Source organism: Homo sapiens, chromosome 13, assembly GCF_000001405.40.
Source record: "Homo sapiens chromosome 13, GRCh38.p14 Primary Assembly".
NCBI classification, from domain to species: Eukaryota; Metazoa; Chordata; class Mammalia; order Primates; family Hominidae; genus Homo; species Homo sapiens.
The window spans coordinates 113,740,519-113,758,254 of record NC_000013.11 but is presented as its reverse complement, the minus strand read 5'-3'; the positions used below and the strand labels follow the sequence as shown (position 1 = coordinate 113,758,254).

General features: G+C 55.2%; 1 protein-coding gene and 1 long non-coding RNA gene across 4 annotated transcripts, besides 2 other annotated features; both read left to right on the top strand.

Moving 5' to 3' along the window:
• Window positions 1-4,135: 4,135 nt before the first annotated feature.
• Window positions 4,136-16,377, top strand: LOC105377805 (basic salivary proline-rich protein 4-like). Of its 3 annotated transcripts, none has more exons than XM_047430842.1 (4): window positions 4,145-6,807; window positions 13,234-13,581; window positions 14,825-14,945; window positions 15,976-16,377. In XM_047430842.1, the coding sequence occupies exon 1, from the start codon at window positions 5,650-5,652 to the stop codon at window positions 6,757-6,759; it is 1,110 nt and encodes a 369-aa protein (XP_047286798.1). In that variant the 5' UTR covers window positions 4,145-5,649; the 3' UTR covers window positions 6,760-6,807; window positions 13,234-13,581; window positions 14,825-14,945; window positions 15,976-16,377. The 3 variants fall into 3 exon arrangements, with proteins under 3 accessions (XP_047286799.1, XP_047286798.1, XP_047286797.1); XM_047430841.1 differs by having other exon boundaries at window positions 15,242-16,377; XM_047430843.1 differs by having other exon boundaries at window positions 4,136-6,807; window positions 14,825-16,377.
• Window positions 4,836-5,054: a silencer, noted in NCBI's record as "fragment chr13:114456174-114456392 (GRCh37/hg19 assembly coordinates)". NCBI's record gives its function as "represses an EF-1alpha promoter that drives an FKBP-Casp9 reporter gene in an ReSE screen in K562 erythroleukemia cells {active_cell/tissue: K562}" and the evidence as "EXISTENCE:reporter gene assay evidence [ECO:0000049][PMID:32094911]".
• LINC00552 (long intergenic non-protein coding RNA 552) lies at window positions 7,166-9,744 on the top strand. The gene has a single exon (NR_028064.1). It is a non-coding gene; the product is annotated as a long intergenic non-protein coding RNA 552 (long non-coding RNA).
• Window positions 14,502-15,003: an enhancer, noted in NCBI's record as "H3K4me1 hESC enhancer chr13:114446225-114446726 (GRCh37/hg19 assembly coordinates)". NCBI's record gives its function as "activates a minimal SCP1, AML or CMV promoter by ChIP-STARR-seq in naive H9 embryonic stem cells {active_cell/tissue: H9 hESC(naive)}" and the evidence as "EXISTENCE:reporter gene assay evidence [ECO:0000049][PMID:30033119]".
• Window positions 16,378-17,736: the final 1,359 nt, after the last annotated feature.

Below are 17,736 nucleotides of genomic sequence, written 5' to 3'. Positions count from 1 at the left end.
ATATCTCTTTCTAGATATGCCCAAGAACACAAACATAGATCTGCTCCTTCGAGCCAGGAGCCGTGGTTCTCAACCCCGGCTGTCGTTAAAGTCATCCAGGAATGTCTTTAAAAGAAAAAACATTTCTGCAGCACTGAACCCAGACCAGATCAATTGAACCAGAACTTCTGGGAACAAACTAATAGCTAAGAATTCCCTAGTCATTCTAATAGGCCATCCACTGTGAGAGAGAAACTACCACAAGAAGTATGCATGTGCTAGAAGATGCGTACAGAATATTCCTCACAACACTGTGTGTCCAAAGCACCGGACACACCCTGAATATCCAACACGGGGAGAAGCGATAAAGAAATGGGCATATACAGCGAAATACCACATGGCAGTTAAAATAAATGAGAGCTACATGGATCAATGTGGATAAATGCCAAAAACAGAACGCGGAGCAAAAATGCAAGTGCACAGTACGGCAGCGAGTACGACAGCAAGTACGGCAGCGAGTATGGTACCATTTATATAAAGTTTTAAACCATGAAAATTAACACTGTTCACTCAGTGAGCCTCTCAAGACTTACTAAACATCCGCGATATACCAGACACTGTTCCAGGTACTTGGGATGTATCAATGAGCAACGTAAACAAGGATCCTGGTGGGGAAGTGAGGCCATGAATAATAATACAATAAACAAGAAAAATGCACAGCATGTCAGAGGGCAACATGCTATGGAATACACACACACATATACACATACACACATGCAGACATACACACATGCATGCACATACACACATACACACACATGCATATATACACATGCATACATACACACATGCATGCATGTGTGCATACATACATGCACGCATACATACATGCACATACACACATGCATACATGTGTGCATACATACACGCACACATACATACACATACATACACACATGCATACATACACACTTATACGTGCATACATGCACATATGCACATATACATACACACATGCATGCATACACACATGCACACACATACACATGCACACATACATGCACACACATGCACATACACACACATACACACTTATACATACACACACATACACACATACATACATACACAGCCAGGTAATGCAGGCCACAGAAAAAGGAAAGAGAGGTAAAGAAACAAAATAGAAAGTATAGTGTGGGAGAGGGAGGGAGCTGTGGTTTTTAAGTAGTGAAAAGAGAGCTTGTTGACAGGTGATGTTGAAGACCAAGCTTGAGGGCGTGGAGGTGGTTGCTCACCCAGACATCTGGGGCAGAGGGTCTGAGGAAAAGGAACCTCCATGCAAAGGCCCTGGGGTGGAGCCATCCAGGCCCAGGGGGAGCAGCAAGGAGACCAGGGTGCCAGAGGCTTGTGGGGACCAGGTGGAGGACATCAGGGGTGAGCCGCAGGGCCTCTGGCCTTTGCTCCGAGTGATGTGGGGGTTATTGGAGGGTCCTACACATAGGATTACTGGAGAGTAGTTGTAGGATAGCAGAATGGAAGCTGAGAAACTGGTTATAGGATATGATGAAACAGTAGGAGGTGATTACACGGACACCATGAGTCATGTTTGCAGATACACGGACACCGTGAGTCCTGTGTGCAGATACACGGACACCGTGAGTCCTGTGTGCAGATACACGGACACGTTGAGTCATGTGTGCAGATACACGGACGTGAGTCTCGTGTGCAGATACATGGACACCGTCTCGTGTGTGCAGATACATGGACACCGTGACTCATGTGTGCAGATACACGGACGTGAGTCTCGTGTGCAGATACATGGACACCGCCTTGTGTGTGCAGATACATGGACACCATGAGTCATGTGTGTGCAGATACATGGACACCGTGAGTCATGTGTGTAGATGCATGGATACTGTGTAAGTAAAGTAGAAGAACATGCTGGGGGAGAGTGCATGCTTCATCCAGAACTGTGATTCTCTGTCTGGGTGGACAAGCTGAACAGCTTTGGAACTATGTCTAGGGGCTTAAACTCTATTTGTGAAATCTTCTTTCTTTAAAAAAGTTAAAAGACTTGTAAAAAAAGGGGGAATGTTGAGATACCATTAAGGCTAGATGGTGTGGACAGGGATGTTATATTATTCTCTATACTTTTCTGGATGTTTAAAATAGATGATTACTTTTTTGTAACTTTTTATTTTTATCTATTTTCAAACCTAAAGGTGGTTTGCAGGGATAGTGCAAGGAGCTCCTGTGCATCCTCTACCCAGGTGTGCCTTTGTTTGCAGTCTGTCACTTTTTTGTTTTTTGAGACATGCTGTGGCTCTGTGGCCCAGGCTGGAGTGCAGTGGCATGATCATAGCTTACTGCAGTCTCCACCTCCCAGGCTCAAGCGATCCTCTCACCTCAGCCTCCCAAGTAGCTAGGACCACAGGCGTGTGCTGCAACACCCAGCTAAGGTTTATACTTTTTGTAGAGATGGGGTTTCCTCATGTTGCCCAGGCTGATGTCAAACCCCTGGGCTCAAGTGATCCTCCCATCTGGGCCTCCCAAAGTGCTGGGATTACAGACGAGAGCTACTGTGCCCGGCCACAGTCTGTTATATTTTAAAAATTAAATGGACGAAAGGAAAAGAAAAGGAGGAAAAAGGGCGCCTGCTTGGCTCTGCAGGCCGAGTCCCACCCTAAGCCGCCAGGGTGCCCAACCTCTTCCACCACTGAGAGCAGCCCAGGGATTTCCATGTTTGTCTCATTCCACCAGGCTCAGGGAATGCCTTTTTAAAGAGGAGAAAAAGCGCCTGCCTGGCATGGGGAATGTGCAGGGGCCAACTGGAGCACAGCCAACTCAGAACTTCTTCAGGGGCTCCCTGAGCAGGCCCCACCTGCCTCCTCTCCCCAGGCCTGCACCTCGGAAGTGGCTGGAACCCACAGCCAGCACCTGTCCTTCCTTCCCGCCAGCACCACCTTCCTTCTCTACTCACTCAGAGATACCGGGGTTCCCCATGACTGGTTCATCCTCCCCTCACCCCTAACTTTCCGTGGTCCTCAGATCTCTAACCCATTCCTGCAACATCCAGTGAGGTAGGGAAGCAACAGCGCTGGCTCCGAGAGCCAGGGTCAGGGCCAGGGGCTGACTCCCACACTGTCCTGTCCTGAGCATTGTCCAGGCCCAGAGCAGGGCTGGGCTTGGCGCTGGGCTGTGGAAGCACAGGAGTGATCACTGACCTGGGGCCCTGATGGAGCTCAGAGGCTGATGGAGAAGAGACAGAAAGACTGAGCCCTCCCAGGTGATGCCACCGTGTTAAGCTCAGCGCTGAGAGGCAGCGGGAGGTGTCGCAGGGAGGGCTCCCGCAAGGAGAGACACACAGAGCTAAGAGCTGGAGGGCAGGGAGCCAGGCCGCTCGGGCCCTTCCTGGAGGATCGGATGAATCTGTTATCTCTGAGCAAGCTCCGGGAAACAGGAGACAGGTCGGGGGCTGGCTTGATGGGGGCAGTGGATGGGGTTACCCAAGATACGCTGCGACCTGTGAGCGTCCGGGAAGGGATTCAGGCTTGGGAGGAGTCCAGGAGACAGAAGTCATAGGATTGCCAATCTTTACAGTGGGACAGGTCCTTGGAGGTCATTCCGGTTACTACAACTGTGGGACAAATGACCCCATAACTCAGTGGCTTAAAAAACCACATTTATTTAGTTGGAGTTGAAATTTGGGCAAGGCCAGGAGTGGACACCCTGCCTCTGCTCCACTCAGGGTGAGCTAGGGTGGCTCCCAGGACTGGCGCGTGGCTGACTGTGGCTGTGCCTGTAACCTCTCCAGGTGACGTGGGCTTCCTCATGACATGGGGGCTGGACTCCCAGGAACGTTGGGCAAGAGAGAGAGCCGGGTGGAGTCTGTGGCACCTTCTGCAACCCAGCCTCAGCTTCACGCTGTGTCACCTCTGCTGCCTTCTCTTCAGCAGCCCGGTGACAAAATTCAAAGGAAGAAGGAAGAGCCTCTCCTTGTGTGTGGGAAATAGAAAGGTGATGTGGTCATTTGGGGAAAATAGAATTTGCCACAGGGATCACTGTGTCAGGACAGGACCCTCACTACAGGGAGGCTGGAAGGTGAACAAGCGATAATAAAGATAACGAACCTTTTCCTCTTACTTCAGCAGATATTTCGCAGCTATTTGGGCAGCTTGGAATGGGAACTGGTGGTCTTCCTAGACCACAGGTAATGAGGGGTGGCGTGGAGGAGGCAGCCGTGCCAGGCAGGAAGATCATCCTGGGATCTGCGATGTGTGCATCGGAAGCACCCAGAGAGAATAGAAGCTGCCAGAAAAATGCAAGGAAACCCAGAAACTCGGAGAGCACAAACGAATCACAGTTTTTATTGTGTGAATTTTCACTAAATATCCTACAATGAATATTCGTCATAAGAAAAAGTCATTTTTAATGTCATGATTTCCTGGAAATATAGAAAGAAAGAAAAACAGAAAAGGCACAACTGCCCCCGAGCACAGCAGCAGAATCTTGGTGGTGGGCGCTCCCCTGCCACGCCCGGGGATGCTCCTGCTTCAGGAGTTCACTTGGCTCAGTTATGGCAGCAGGTTCTGATGCTGCAGAGCTCAGAGCAGAAAGGCTAAGGACGCCTGCTTAGGGCCCCTACTGTGTGTGTGCATGTCTGTGTGCACGCATGTGTATGTGTAGGTCTGTGTGCAGGGCTGTGTGCATGACTGCACGTATGTGGATGGGTGCACGACTGTGTACCTGTGTGTGTATATGTGTGGGTGGGTGCGCCTGATTGTGTGTGTGTGTGCGTGTGTGTCTCACGCCAGATTGGTTCTGCTCAGGTGCTCTGCATCATTTCTGCAATCTGATTTCTCCAAGTCTCAAAGGTCGAATGTGCACCATCAACAGCACTGAGAGCCTCTTAGAAAGGCAAAGTCTCCCCAGACCGGATGCACTCCCAGCTTCCGTGCCTGGAATTAGCGTATTTCCTGCAACACCAGGCCGGGCAGAGCTAGGCAAAGTCACCCAGGATCTGGAGTTGCCAGAATGCAGCTTCGGCCACTGACAGCATCATCATGGCCACATAAAAAATCCCCCAAATAAATTTCCTTGGAAGAAGTAAATAAGTTCTTTGTACTTAAGTTTGGAGGTGACCAGTCCTAACTGGTAACTGAATTCCTTGTGATGTCTTACAAATCCTTTGCTTTCTAATTCTATAAATTATGTGTGCTTTTCCCCGGAGATCTTCTGAGAATTTCCTTTAGAGAGCATTTGACTCGGAGGCCATCGGCATCAGATCAGCCCAGGACACTTCAATGGTGAATTGTGTGATAAGCAACAAAATCTCAGTAAAGCTAAAACATCAGCACAGAAAAGACCTTAAAGAAACCGCCTCCTCAGCCACGGAGCCGGCACAACGGGAAAGAAACCACCTCCTCGGCCACAGAGCCGGCGCGGCCGGAAAGAAACCGCCTCCTCAGCCATGGAGCCGGCGCGGCCGGAAAGAAACCGCCTCCTCAGCCACGGAGCCGGCAGAACCCGAAAGAAACCGCCTCCTCAGCCACGGAGCCGGCAGAACCAGAAAGAAACCGCCTCCTCAGCCACGGAGCCGGCAGAACCCGAAAGAAACCGCCTCCTCAGCCATGGAGCCGGCGCGGCCGGAAAGAAACCGCCTCCTCAGCCATGGAGCCGGCGCGGCCGGAAAGAAACCGCCTCCTCAGCCATGGAGCCGGCGCGGCCGGAAAGAAACCGCCTCCTCAGCCACGGAGCCGGCAGAACCCAAAAGAAACCGCCTCCTCAGCCACGGAGCCGGCGCGGCCGGAAAGAAACCGCCTCCTCAGCCACGGAGCCAGCGCGGCCGGAAAGAAACCGCCTCCTCAGCCACGGAGCCGGCAGAACCCGAAAGAAACCGCCTCCTCGGCCACGGAGCCAGCGCGGCCGGAAAGAAACCGCCTCCTCAGCCACGGAGCCGGCAGAACCCGAAAGAAACCGCCTCCTCGGCCACGGAGCCGGCAGAACCCGAAAGAAACCGCCTCCTCAGCCACGGAGCCGGCAGAACCCGAAAGAAACCGCCTCCTCAGCCACGGAGCCAGCGCGGCCGGAAAGAAACCGCCTCCTCAGCCACGGAGCCGGCAGAACCCGAAAGAAACCGCCTCCTCGGCCACGGAGCCGGCAGAACCCGAAAGAAACCGCCTCCTCGGCCACGGAGCCGGCAGAACCCGAAAGAAACCGCCTCCTCGGCCACGGAGCCGGCAGAACCCGAAAGAAACCGCCTCCTCGGCCACGGAGCCGGCAGAACCGGAAAGAAACCGCCTCCTCGGCCACGGAGCCGGCACAACGGGAAAGAAACCGCCTCCTCAGCCACGGAGCTGGCACAACTGGAAAGCAACTCTCCGAGCTGAAAAGCAATGGGTTTGCAAAGAGTGGGAAAACACACAGAAGGCGGGTCATGCAAAACGTCCTCCCGTGTCTGTAAATGGCAGTTGCCCGCCACGATGTCCAGATGCACCGGGGAGTCTGGCCACGCCAAGGGAGAGACCAGAGAGGGCGACTAGCACAGCGTTCACATCTGGTGGCTCTGTCCCCCCAGACACTCCGCACCGAAGCCTGGGGCAGAGGAGAAACCTCGTGCCTGCACACAGAAGGTGTCTCCACAAGGAGCCGTCTCTACAGCGTGACTGTGGAAAGCAGGCCTCGGGACCCTGGGACCAGCACCAAGAATGCCAGACCTGGTTCTCCGAGGCTGCGGCATTCCTCCCACGTCTGCCTCTAGGGGCCACGCAAGGGAGCTGAGACACGGGAGTTACAGAGCACTCAGCTTCCCCACAAGAACTGGCTCTGGTAAGAGCAGCTAGCATCAAGGAGGAGGATTCACGTGTGCACCCACCACTCAGAGACACAGACATATGCACACTCGCAGACATGCACACACACCACAGAGACACAGACATGCCCATGCACACACATGCACTCACACCACAGAGACAGACGTGCCCATGCACACACACGCACACACACGTGCACACGCACACATGCATGCACACGTACTCACACACCACACAGAGATACATGCACTCACACGCACACACACATGCACATACACACGTGTGCACATACATGCACACACGCACAGATGCACGCATGTACATGCACACACATGTACACACACCAGTCATGCAACCACACATGCACACACAAATATGCACCTACACACATGTGTATATACATGCACATATGCAGATATGCACACGTATATGCACACATGTGCACATGCGTACACATGCAAACATGCATGCACACATGTACACACACCACACAGACATGCACTCACACGTACAGACACACCCAAGCATGCGCATACACACGTGCACATATATGCACACATGCACATATGCACACATGCAAATGCAAACATGCATGCACACATGTACACACACCACACAGACACAGACATGCACTCACATACACATGCACACACACAAACATGGACATACACGTGCACACACACGCACACACACGCAGTCACACACGTACACATGCATGCAGGCACACAGACACGCACATACACCACACTGCACAAACATGCACACACAGACACAAACACATGCGCACACACGTGCACATGCACTCACACCACACACAGACATGCACACACAGGCATGCACACACACGTACACAGAGACACACATTCACAAACACATAAATGCTTGTGTGTGGAGACAACTTTCTGCATTCATTGAGCGTGAGTTTTGTTCATGAAAATCCACTGGCCCCCTTTGCTCTTTGAATGGGTCTTTTACCTATGCATGATTTTGAGGAATCACACGCTGGTCATGTGGAGAATTATTCGGAAGCTGTCACACTCACAATGCGAGAAACAAGTTTTCAAAAATTCCTCTTGTCATTTGAAAGCTCAACATTGTATCATTGGTGCCAGATACTCCCAGCTGTTTTCCTTACAGGGATGGGCTTACTTGGTTGTTTTCAGGAAAACACCCAAGCCTGGGTATGCAGGGCTGTTCGCTGTTTGTTCCATGGAAACTGGTGTTGCAAGAATAAAGGAGCTTGGTTCAGCTTGGCTGCCAGACGCCCACATGGCACACACAAAGCACTGTGCGCAAACCTCCAGCTCCATCACAAGGAACGTCACTGCCGAATGCTGCTGGCGATGGTGGCGAGAAGCCTCACGAGCTCAAAGCCACCTTGATCTGGGCCCAGGCACCAGCAGGTGTCCCACCATCAGCCCTCTGCCATTGCCGCGAATGTCAACACAGAGAAAAAGGCAAGGGGCCCGAGATGACTGTGCTGGTCTTGGAGACCCCCCTGAAAACACCCAAAGGACCACACGTGAAGAACTGCTGTTCTGTGGAACAAATGATGCCAACGCTTCAACAAATGCACAGCCCGAAGAGTCTGGGCAGATAAACAAGGTGCCGGACACGGCCCTGCTGGGTCCTGTTTCAAACAGGCCAGACATAAATAGATGTGTGGAGACCCCGGGAAAACTTCCAGGAGCACTTGGGGGCTGGAGGGAGGCACACGGGCCTGCGCCTGGGAGCCGTGCTCTGCCCACTCCACCCCATGACCCTCGAAGGAAGCACCTCACGGGGCCCCCAGGGGTGCAGGGAGTCAGCCGCCCTGTTCCTGTGTGAGCGGGGCCTCTGGGGCACCGACCTGCACAGACCTGGTGGGGAGAGGCCACTCCAGCCTCTGGGCTGTCTTGGGTGAGGCCTGAAGTGGCTCTTCCCACAGTCTGAGCAAGGGCTCAGTCCCACCAGCAGCAACATAGCCCAGGGCATGGAAGCCCTTGATGACGTACATGGGGCTCGACTCCCACAAAGCCAACCCCATTGTGGGGTCAGCACAGCTGCAGAGAGTACCCACGCCAGCCGCAGCCATCCCCGAGGAGTGTGGTGCTGGGGACAGTAAGCCGGGTGTGTCAACCTGTGAGGGGCACCTGAGGCCAGCATGAGGGCAGGCGAGGCGGCCGTGGCTCATGGGTGCTAGGTCTGCAGGACTGTGCCCAGGTGTAGGCTCTGCCTCCCAGCCCCACGGCGAACACCCATGGTGCCCCTGCCCTGTAGCAAGACCCTGACCCCCACACATGTCCCCAGACACCTCCTGGGGCAACAGTGCTGCCATGAGGACCTCTGAGATGAAGGCACCGGCTCCACTGAGGCCTGTGTGGTTCCCGCCACCTGCCCCCACACCCTTCCTCCTCCACCCGCCCTGCGCTCTGGAGTGGCCCGGAGCCTGCCCCGTGGGCGCCCACAGAGTCAGGCACCAGCAGGAGATGAAGGGGCGGAGGAAGGTGAGAGTGTCCTCATCCCAGGCCTCCTCGTGAGGTCCCTGCGGCCTGGCTGAGCCCCTCCCAGGGACAGGCCCCTCCGTTGCTCCCCTGGAAGCTGCTTTCCTCGGACGTGGGAACAGCCCTGTCCCTGGGCCCTCAGGAATGGGATAGAACAGGGCCCAGGGTGGGAACCAACACCCTAAGTCTCTTCCCACAGAAGCCTAAGGACAGCAATGGCTGAGGGAGGCGTCCTGAGGTGCTCCCGTGGCTGTGCTCCCATGGCTGTGCTCCCCTCGCTGTGCAAGCATCGCAGCGACTCACACGGCTGGAGGGCAGGGCCCACTGCCTGCCCAGGCTTCACGGTGTGGCCCTGGCTGCACACCTGTGCTGCAGGTGCCTGCGCCGATCCCTGGAGGAGCTGTAGTAAGCATTTGTGCATGTAAACACATCCAAGCTTGGAAATGGCACAGTAAAAGCACAGCACCGCGATCTTACGGGAGAAACGTGGTTATGCGCGTGGCTGGGTGGCCTTTACTACTCCTTCCTCAGTCCCTCGCTTGAGGGGGTGCCTGGCTGAGTGAAGATCCCAGCACACTCAGGATCTCGTGCCTGTCCCTGGGCACCTGACGTGCTACGGAGACAGTGACTTTGCAGATGGGATTAGGGTCAGGGCCTTGAGGCGGGGACTGATCTGGGACTGTCCAAGTGATAACGGAATGTAACCACGAGGTCCCCAGGGAGGGAGGCGGAGGGAGGTGTGACCAGAGAGGACACTAAGGCCACATGATGGCAGGACAGCGTCAGGGAGGGGCAGGGCTGCGAGCCAGGGGTGCTGACTCTTGCCTGAGCCAGGAGAGGCAGTGTGGCCCTGCTCACACCTCCCTCTTAGCCCTGTGAGCCCCGTTTTAGACTTGGGCCCCCAGAGCTGTAATGGGATAAGCGTGTGTGTGTTAGGCTTCGACGCACAACAGTACCTTGAGGGTCCCAGCGTCTTGGACACCTCCATGCTGGGGGCGTACGAACATTTTCCAGGTGGTGCAATTGCCTAAGGGAATCACATCCAGACCCCTGATTTCCAGATGCAATCTCTCCCACAGTAGATCTGGGTGAGTCCAGGGCCCCAGGTCCACTGCGTCCCCTTCCCACCCGACTGCCACCAAGAGGAGCCAACCCCATCCCCAGCCCAGCCTCCCTGAGGTGCAGCTCTCCCTGCGTGACCCTCGGGCCCCAAACATAGAAGCAGTCACAGCATGGGGCAAGGCCGGGCTCCAGGGGAGAATCGCCGAGTCTGTGCCTGGCAGATTCTGTGTCTGGCAGATTCTGTGCCCAGCGGAATCTGTGCCCGGCGGATTCTGTGCCCAGAGGATTCGCACAGGGCCCAGCCTTCTCCTCATCCATGCCCAGCCGCCAGGGCCGGAGAACCCAGAGGGAGGGGTCATCACTGGACACCTCCCGACGTCCTAACAATTCTGACAGAAGCCAGATCGGTTCTGCCAACCGCTTTGACTGGCTCCCCAGCCAGGTCGCCTTTGTCTGTTTGGTGAACTCCGGCCAAGCCTTGCTCCAGGCGCCACGTTCAAACTCGCCACAGCCTTGCGTCAGGGGCTGTCACCACTGCCGTGTAAGATAAGGAAGCCAAGGCTCCGGGCAGTGGCGTGAGCAGCCCAGGGTCACACAGCAGGCAGTGGCAGAGCCGGGGCAGACTCAGGCACCGACCAGGCTCACGCACACGGCCTGTGTTGCCATGAGCCCCGAGATGAAAGGACCTCGTCTGTGGATCCCCGTTCTGTGGGAAATGCATTAAACGGCATGTGAGTACATTGCTGCCCTTTCCAACTAAACCAAAAGTATTTTAGATGCAAAGTTGACATGGCACATTTCTGAAAATTCTTTGAGGACTACACGAGCAAAACATGTTGAGAGCCGGGACCTCCGGCCTTAGCCTCAGTAACAGAAACCAAAGCCATCCCTGAACAATCTCAGCACGGTCCCCCTTCAAAGACGAGAAACTGAGGCTCTGGGAGGTTGGTTGTTGTGGCCCAGGACGGACCCCCAAAGCCCGTGTGCTTAACTGCAGGGCAGGGACGCTGGCTAGGATCTGGCCACTGGAGCCGCTCCTGCCCCAGGCCCCAAGCTGGTGGCCCACAGCGCCTCTCCTGCAATCCCAGATCAGCTTGGCAGGGGCGGTCACCTGGGATCAGGGTATTTTTTTAAATTTAATTTACTTTAGCTCTTCCAAGAGGCAATTAGATGAGGAAATCTGTCTTCCGCCGGACTGAAGATAATTAGAGAGACTGGATAAATTGTTATTGACGGTAAGAAGATAATTCGCTAGAACCGCTAGAAAAAATGCCTGCTGTCCTTCCCAATTCCAGATTCCTTCCTGCCTAGAGGAAAATGAAAGTGCCCTGAGGTTTCCTACCTTGACTTTCTCCACATGAACATGGGCCCTGTAAACCAGAAAGCATGAGAGACAGGCCTCAATCCATTGAGAGGTTCATTTGCCAAGGTTAAGGGCACACATGGGAGAGAGCTCTGTGACTTTCTCCAAAGATGATTTTGAGGGTTTCAGTATTTTAAAGGGGAAATGCAGGCTGGAGGGGAAAGAGGGAGGTTTGGTTGCGAGACTGAACCCATGCATTGCAGGAGAAAGGAACAGGCAGGACAATGGTGAATGATGCATTTGTCCTGGGCTCAGAAAGTCGGACTTTGCACTAGGCCAGGGGAACGCAGAGCAGCTGCTGGTGAAGACGCTGAGCCTTTGCTGGGCAGCTCCCTGCTCAGGAACACAAGGAAAGGCCTCTCCTCACAGGGCTCAGCTTCCAGCTTTAAGGGTTTCCTTTGGCGGTGAATTGGAGTCCCCAGATTTTATTTTCCTTTCACAGCCCCGATGTTGCCCCAGAAACAACAGAGACTCCTGAAAGTTTCCCACACCCTTCAGAAGGCTTTGGGCAAATTGGGGTGTGGGAGACGGGATGAGCATGGATGGAGCACCTACTGTGCACCTCACGCTGTGGCTGGTCTGGGAGACGGGACGAGCGTGGATGGAGTGCCTACTGTATGCCTCACCCTATGGCTGGTTTGGGGATGGGACGAGCGTGGATGGAGTGCCTACTGTATGCCTCACCCTGTGGCTGGTTTGGGGACAGGACGAGCGTGGATGGAGTGCCTACTATATGCCTCACGCTGTGGCTGGTTTGGGGACAGGACGAGCATGGATGGAGCGCCTACTGTATGCCTCACCCTGTGGCTGGTTTGGGGACAGGACGAGCGTGGATGGAGCGCCTACTGTATGCCTCACCCTATGGCTGGTCTGGGGACGGGACAAGCGTGGATGGAGCGCCTACTGTATGCCTCACGCTGTGGCTGGTCTGGGAGATGGGATGAGCGTGGATGGAGCGCCTACTGTATGCCTCACCCTATGGCTGGTCTGGGAGATGGGATGAGCGTGGATGGAGCGCCTACTGTATGCCTCACCCTGTGGCTGGTCTGGGAGATGGGATGAGCGTGGATGGAGCGCCTACTGTATGCCTCACCCTGTGGCTGGTCTGGGAGATGGGATGAGCGTGGATGGAGCGCCTACTGTATGCCTCACCCTGTGGCTGGTCTGGGAGATGGGATGAGCGTGGATGGAGCACCTACTGTATGCCTCACCCTGTGGCTGGTTTGGGAGACGGGATGAGCGTGGATGGAGCGCCTACTGTATGCCTCACGCTGTGGCTGCCACTTTCACTTTCTGCCTCATCCCAGCCTTGCCATGTGGCGCCCATTTCACAGATGATGAAACAGAAGCACGCAGAATTCAGTAACTTTTTTCAATGTCAAATAGCTAATGGGAGAAACAAGATATAAACCAGGTAAGTCTGAGTCAAAACATAACCACATCTTCCAAATGGGAAAGCATGCATTTATCTGTATGTACACTTTTAAGTTAATCTTTCAGTCAACACACATGTATTGGATTTCCTTACGTGCAGGACACTAGACAAGGTGCAAAGATGACTCGTGCAGTTCTGCCCTGTAAGAATCCACAGTTGAAGTAAGAAGCAAGAGAAATGGAACAGACGATGAGACAAAGCAGACAGCGGTGACAGCATCCCACCACACGGCTGCCCTGCTGGAGAATTCACGGGGAAGTCCAGGATGTGGCCGGCCCGTGTGCAGACCAGGAGCTCACTGACCGATCAACACATCAGGCAGGGGGTTGTCAACCGTGGCCTCGCCTGAGGGTCCCCCAGGGGCTAAGGACCCAGATACTCAGGACACAGGCCAGCCGGACCCCGCACATCAGTCGCTGGAGGGGGTGGATGTTTGAAGCTCCCCAGGTGGTTCTCTAAGTAGCCAGGCCTGCAGGGGGTGGTGGGGGTGAGCAGCGGGTGAGTTTGGGGTGATGCGGAGGGGCAGCAGGTGAAACCACTCCCTGGGGGGAGAAGGAGCAGTTGGTGAAACCACTCCCAGGCAAGCAGGAGGAGCAGTGGGTGAACCACTCCCTTCGGGGGGGAGCAGTGGGTGAAACCACTCCTGGGGGCGGGCGAAGAGGAGCAGCAAGTGAAACCACTCCCAGTGGAGGGGAGCAGTAGGTGAGCCATTCCCTGGAGTGGGGGGAGCAGCAGGTGAAACCACTCTCCGGGGGGGCGGACAGGAGCAGCAGGTGAGCCACTCCCTGAGGTTGGGGAAGCAGCAGGTGAAACCACTCCCCGGGGGGCAGAGAGGAGCAGCTGGTGAGCCACTCCCTGGGGGTCCACAGTGGTTCCAGGCAGAGGCTGCATTTGTCAGGCCTTGGAGGATGGTGCTGAGTGGGTAGAATTCCAGGAGGCTCTGGGGCAAACCCTAACCTTAACCCTAATCCTGGCCCTGGCAACACCTCATCGCAGCTCCTCTTCCTCCTGCGGCCCACAGTAGATTCTCCAGCATGAGTACCAGGAAGACGCCCTGTCCCAGAACCCGTCCAGTACCCACCCCAAGCTCCAGGAGGGGCAGGCCCAGGCCCCAGACACCAGGGCACAGCGCCTCTCCTCCCACCCTCCCAAGGCTGGTCTTAGGGCACAGTGCCTCTCCTCCCACCCCCACCCCTGTCTGCCTGCCAACCTCGTGGGCCTCCCTCACACACACAGGCGCCCCCACACATATGCACACGCTCACACACGCACTACTGAGAGTGCACATGCTCACACACACAAGGCCTGCACACACACGCCACCAAGCACACACGCTCACACAGGGACTGGCCTGGGTCCAGGCTGTGCAGTGTCGTGGTGGCCGGAGTGGGTGGGGCTGAGACATCGGCCATTGGTCCACACTTGCCACAGTGTCCACTGTGGGGCTCAGGCAGCCTTTCACGGCCAGCATGCCTCTGATCTTCCGGCCACAGTGAGGGTGGGCGTGCTGTGTGGTCCGGTGCTTGCGCCCCCAAGTCTGCAGTGAGGCCTGGCTGGGGAGCCGCTGAGATCACCTGCTCCAGCTCTGCCACCCTCTCTCCGTCCCGTCCTCCCCAGGGAAGCCCTTCCTAGTTTTCTGCGCAGGCCTGTGAATCCCCTTCTTCCTCTTTCCCTGCTTCTTTCTCCTTAGGGTTTAGACTTTGGAGAAACCAAAACAGAAAGACCTGCCTGGAGCTCCCACACGGACCCCTCCCTAGAGCCCCAGATTCTACTGGCCCCCACTGGAACAGGGGAGGAAGCAGAGGAAGAAGGTACATGCAGCCTCCAGAAAAATGATCAGGATGATTCCAGACTCACCCGATAGGGCCATCAGGGCAGGCGATTAGCCTTGATTCCACCTGGGGAGAGGGGCCTCCCCAACCACACAGCCCTGTTGGGGGAAGGAGCTGCTGGGACCTGCCAAGGGAATGGGCCTCCCCTGGAGCTCTAAGAGTCAAAAGCTGAGGCTTTTTTGCATAAAAGCAGGGCAGGAGGAATTGGGGGTGTGGTGGCCGAGGCACTACTGAGTTCAAAAGAAGCTCGTTGAGGGCAGGGACCTTCGCCCCAGTTCTCACAGGAGGCACTCCCTGAACAAAAGCTGCAGGAGGACCATACAGGCCAAACTGCCAAACTCAGACCAGCACCTGCTGGGCCGAGGCCACGGGGACGCCTGGTCTTCTCCTACCCATACCCACCACGGCCGCTGGGCAGAGGACATGGGGGACCCACGGGGGCCTGACTGCTGGGAATACCCATTGGCTTGAGCAGATGTGAGTCAACAAGACTCAGACAATGACGTGGGCTCTAAGAAGGTGGCAGTTACGTGAACTGTGAAGCTCAGTTCCTCCCGTTTGTTCAGAGCCTCCGCATCCTGGCCCCAGCTCAGGTGGGAGTCGTTGCTGAGGCACCCGTGTGTGCACGTGGCCTGGCTCTCAGCTCTCAGGGATCAGTAGTGCTGGCAGCAAAACATGACCCTTCCTGTAACAAAATGCCCATGAAATGGAGCAGGGGATGAATAACGTAAGCCGAGCCATGAGGGAGCGGGAGGGGCCGCCCCGCCTGTCTGTACAGGGTGTGGGGTGAGGGCAGGAAGGGGACAGGAGGTGCCCCCAGAGACATGAATTTTTAAAAATTAAACACACTCCTTGCACTTTGCTAGAAGGCCTCTGTCACCATGTGACCGGGGACCTCTTCAGGGCTCCCAGCAGGAAAGGCAGAATTACACCCCCCGGGAAGCCTGAAGCCCACCCTCTCGCAGCCCTGAGCCGGGCAACGGCGGCTCACCAGCACCTCCTGTTCTAGGCGGCATTTTTCTAAAGTGCAGAGTGCAGCAGCCTCTGCATCACCCCACTGCAGGGAGAGAGCCACGCCCTTTGCAGTTGTGAAACCAGACCCGCTGGACAGTTCGCCTCCAAGCACACAGTGCATATTGGATACTGACAGGCCAGGGTGGCAGTGGGGCTCCTGGGACCCACGTGACAGGACAAGAGCTGAGGCTCAGCCAGTCGCCCCCACAAGGCCAGCCGAAGAATGCCAGGGACCGAGAGCTGAGGCTCAGTGAGCCATCCCACCCATGCCAGCGGGAGAATGCCAGGTACATCGCTCTCCATGCTGTCGTCCTCAAACCCCAGCACAATGCCTCACCCTTGGTAACATTCAGCCTTCAGCTCATTTGTCTTGCAAATAAAAAGGTTGAACTTGGAAGAACATTTCACTACTGTAATTGGGGGATTGGGGCTTGGTTTTTTAAAAATCAAATCAAGGCTTCTTATATCCATTTTAAATTGCCTAGATAGAAACTGAGAACCAATCTCATATTTATTTGTAATTTCATGTTATCAGATTGAGGTTTTCTTTCAAAACTGCTCTTCCATTGACTGGCATAATGCCTGTAATCTGTACATTTTATTTGCAATTGAGGCCCATTTACGTGTCTAAACACTCACAGAGGGGACAGACCCCCATTGTAAAACAAAACACAATGGGCCCCAGCCAGAGACTGCCAGCTTTTCGAGGACTCGCTGTGGTGGAGCTCACATTGAGGTAATTCCATACTCAGCAAACCCACAGACCGCAGACAGGAAAAAAGAAAGAACCGCCACTCTGACAATATCATAAATAGTTGAGTAAAGGAATAAAATAAGAAGTGCTGAGCCTGCAGCCCTTGCTGGAGTTATCAGAACCGGCCCCAAATTTCCTGCAAGGCTGTCTCTGGCACGGCCCTCCCCAGAGGCCAGCTGGCCCCATAGGCACATCCACGCTAAGCTCCACAGCCTCTCACGCATCCACGCTGAGCTCCACAGCATCTCAGGCATCCACACTGAGCTCCACGGCCTCTCACGCATCCACGCTGAGCTCCACGGCCTCTTCTGCATCCACGCTGAGCTCCACGGCCTCTCACGCATCCACGCTGAGCTCCACGGCCTCTCACGCATCCACGCTGAGCTCCACGGCCTCTTCTGCATCCACGCTGAGCTCCACTGCCTCTCATGCATCCACGCTGAGCTCCACGGCCTCTCATGCATCCATGCTGAGCTCCACGGCCTCTTCTGCATCCACGCTGAGCTCCACGGCCTCTCATGCATCCATGCTGAGCTCCACGGTCTCTCCTGGGAAGCCCTGGCTTCCTTCTCTCTGCCAGCCCTCATGGGAGTGCCTAGCACCACCGCAGCGCAGAGGGGACGGGAGAGATGCCTGCAGCTCCAGCCGTTTCTCCTCCAGGGGAGGAGGCCAGAGGCAGAGGGAAAGCAGGCAGCTCCCGCAGGACAGCCCTGAGCCAGTGTGAATGTGGGTGAAGCTCCCGGTGCTCACTGCAACAAGGAGGACGCGTGAGCAAGTGCAGACGCTGGGGACTCAGCCCTGACCGACAATGTTGACGTCTGCCAGCTACATGGAGATGAAAATGAAGGCATGTCGCATGCATGTATGTGTGTAGAGGTGTGTGTGTGTGCGCATGTGTGCACCTGTGTGTAATTCTGAAGGAAAGTATGTGACTTGGAAATCATATCACAATCCAGGGACTCACTCTTCCTTATTAACTTTTATTTTTACCCTTTTTTTATT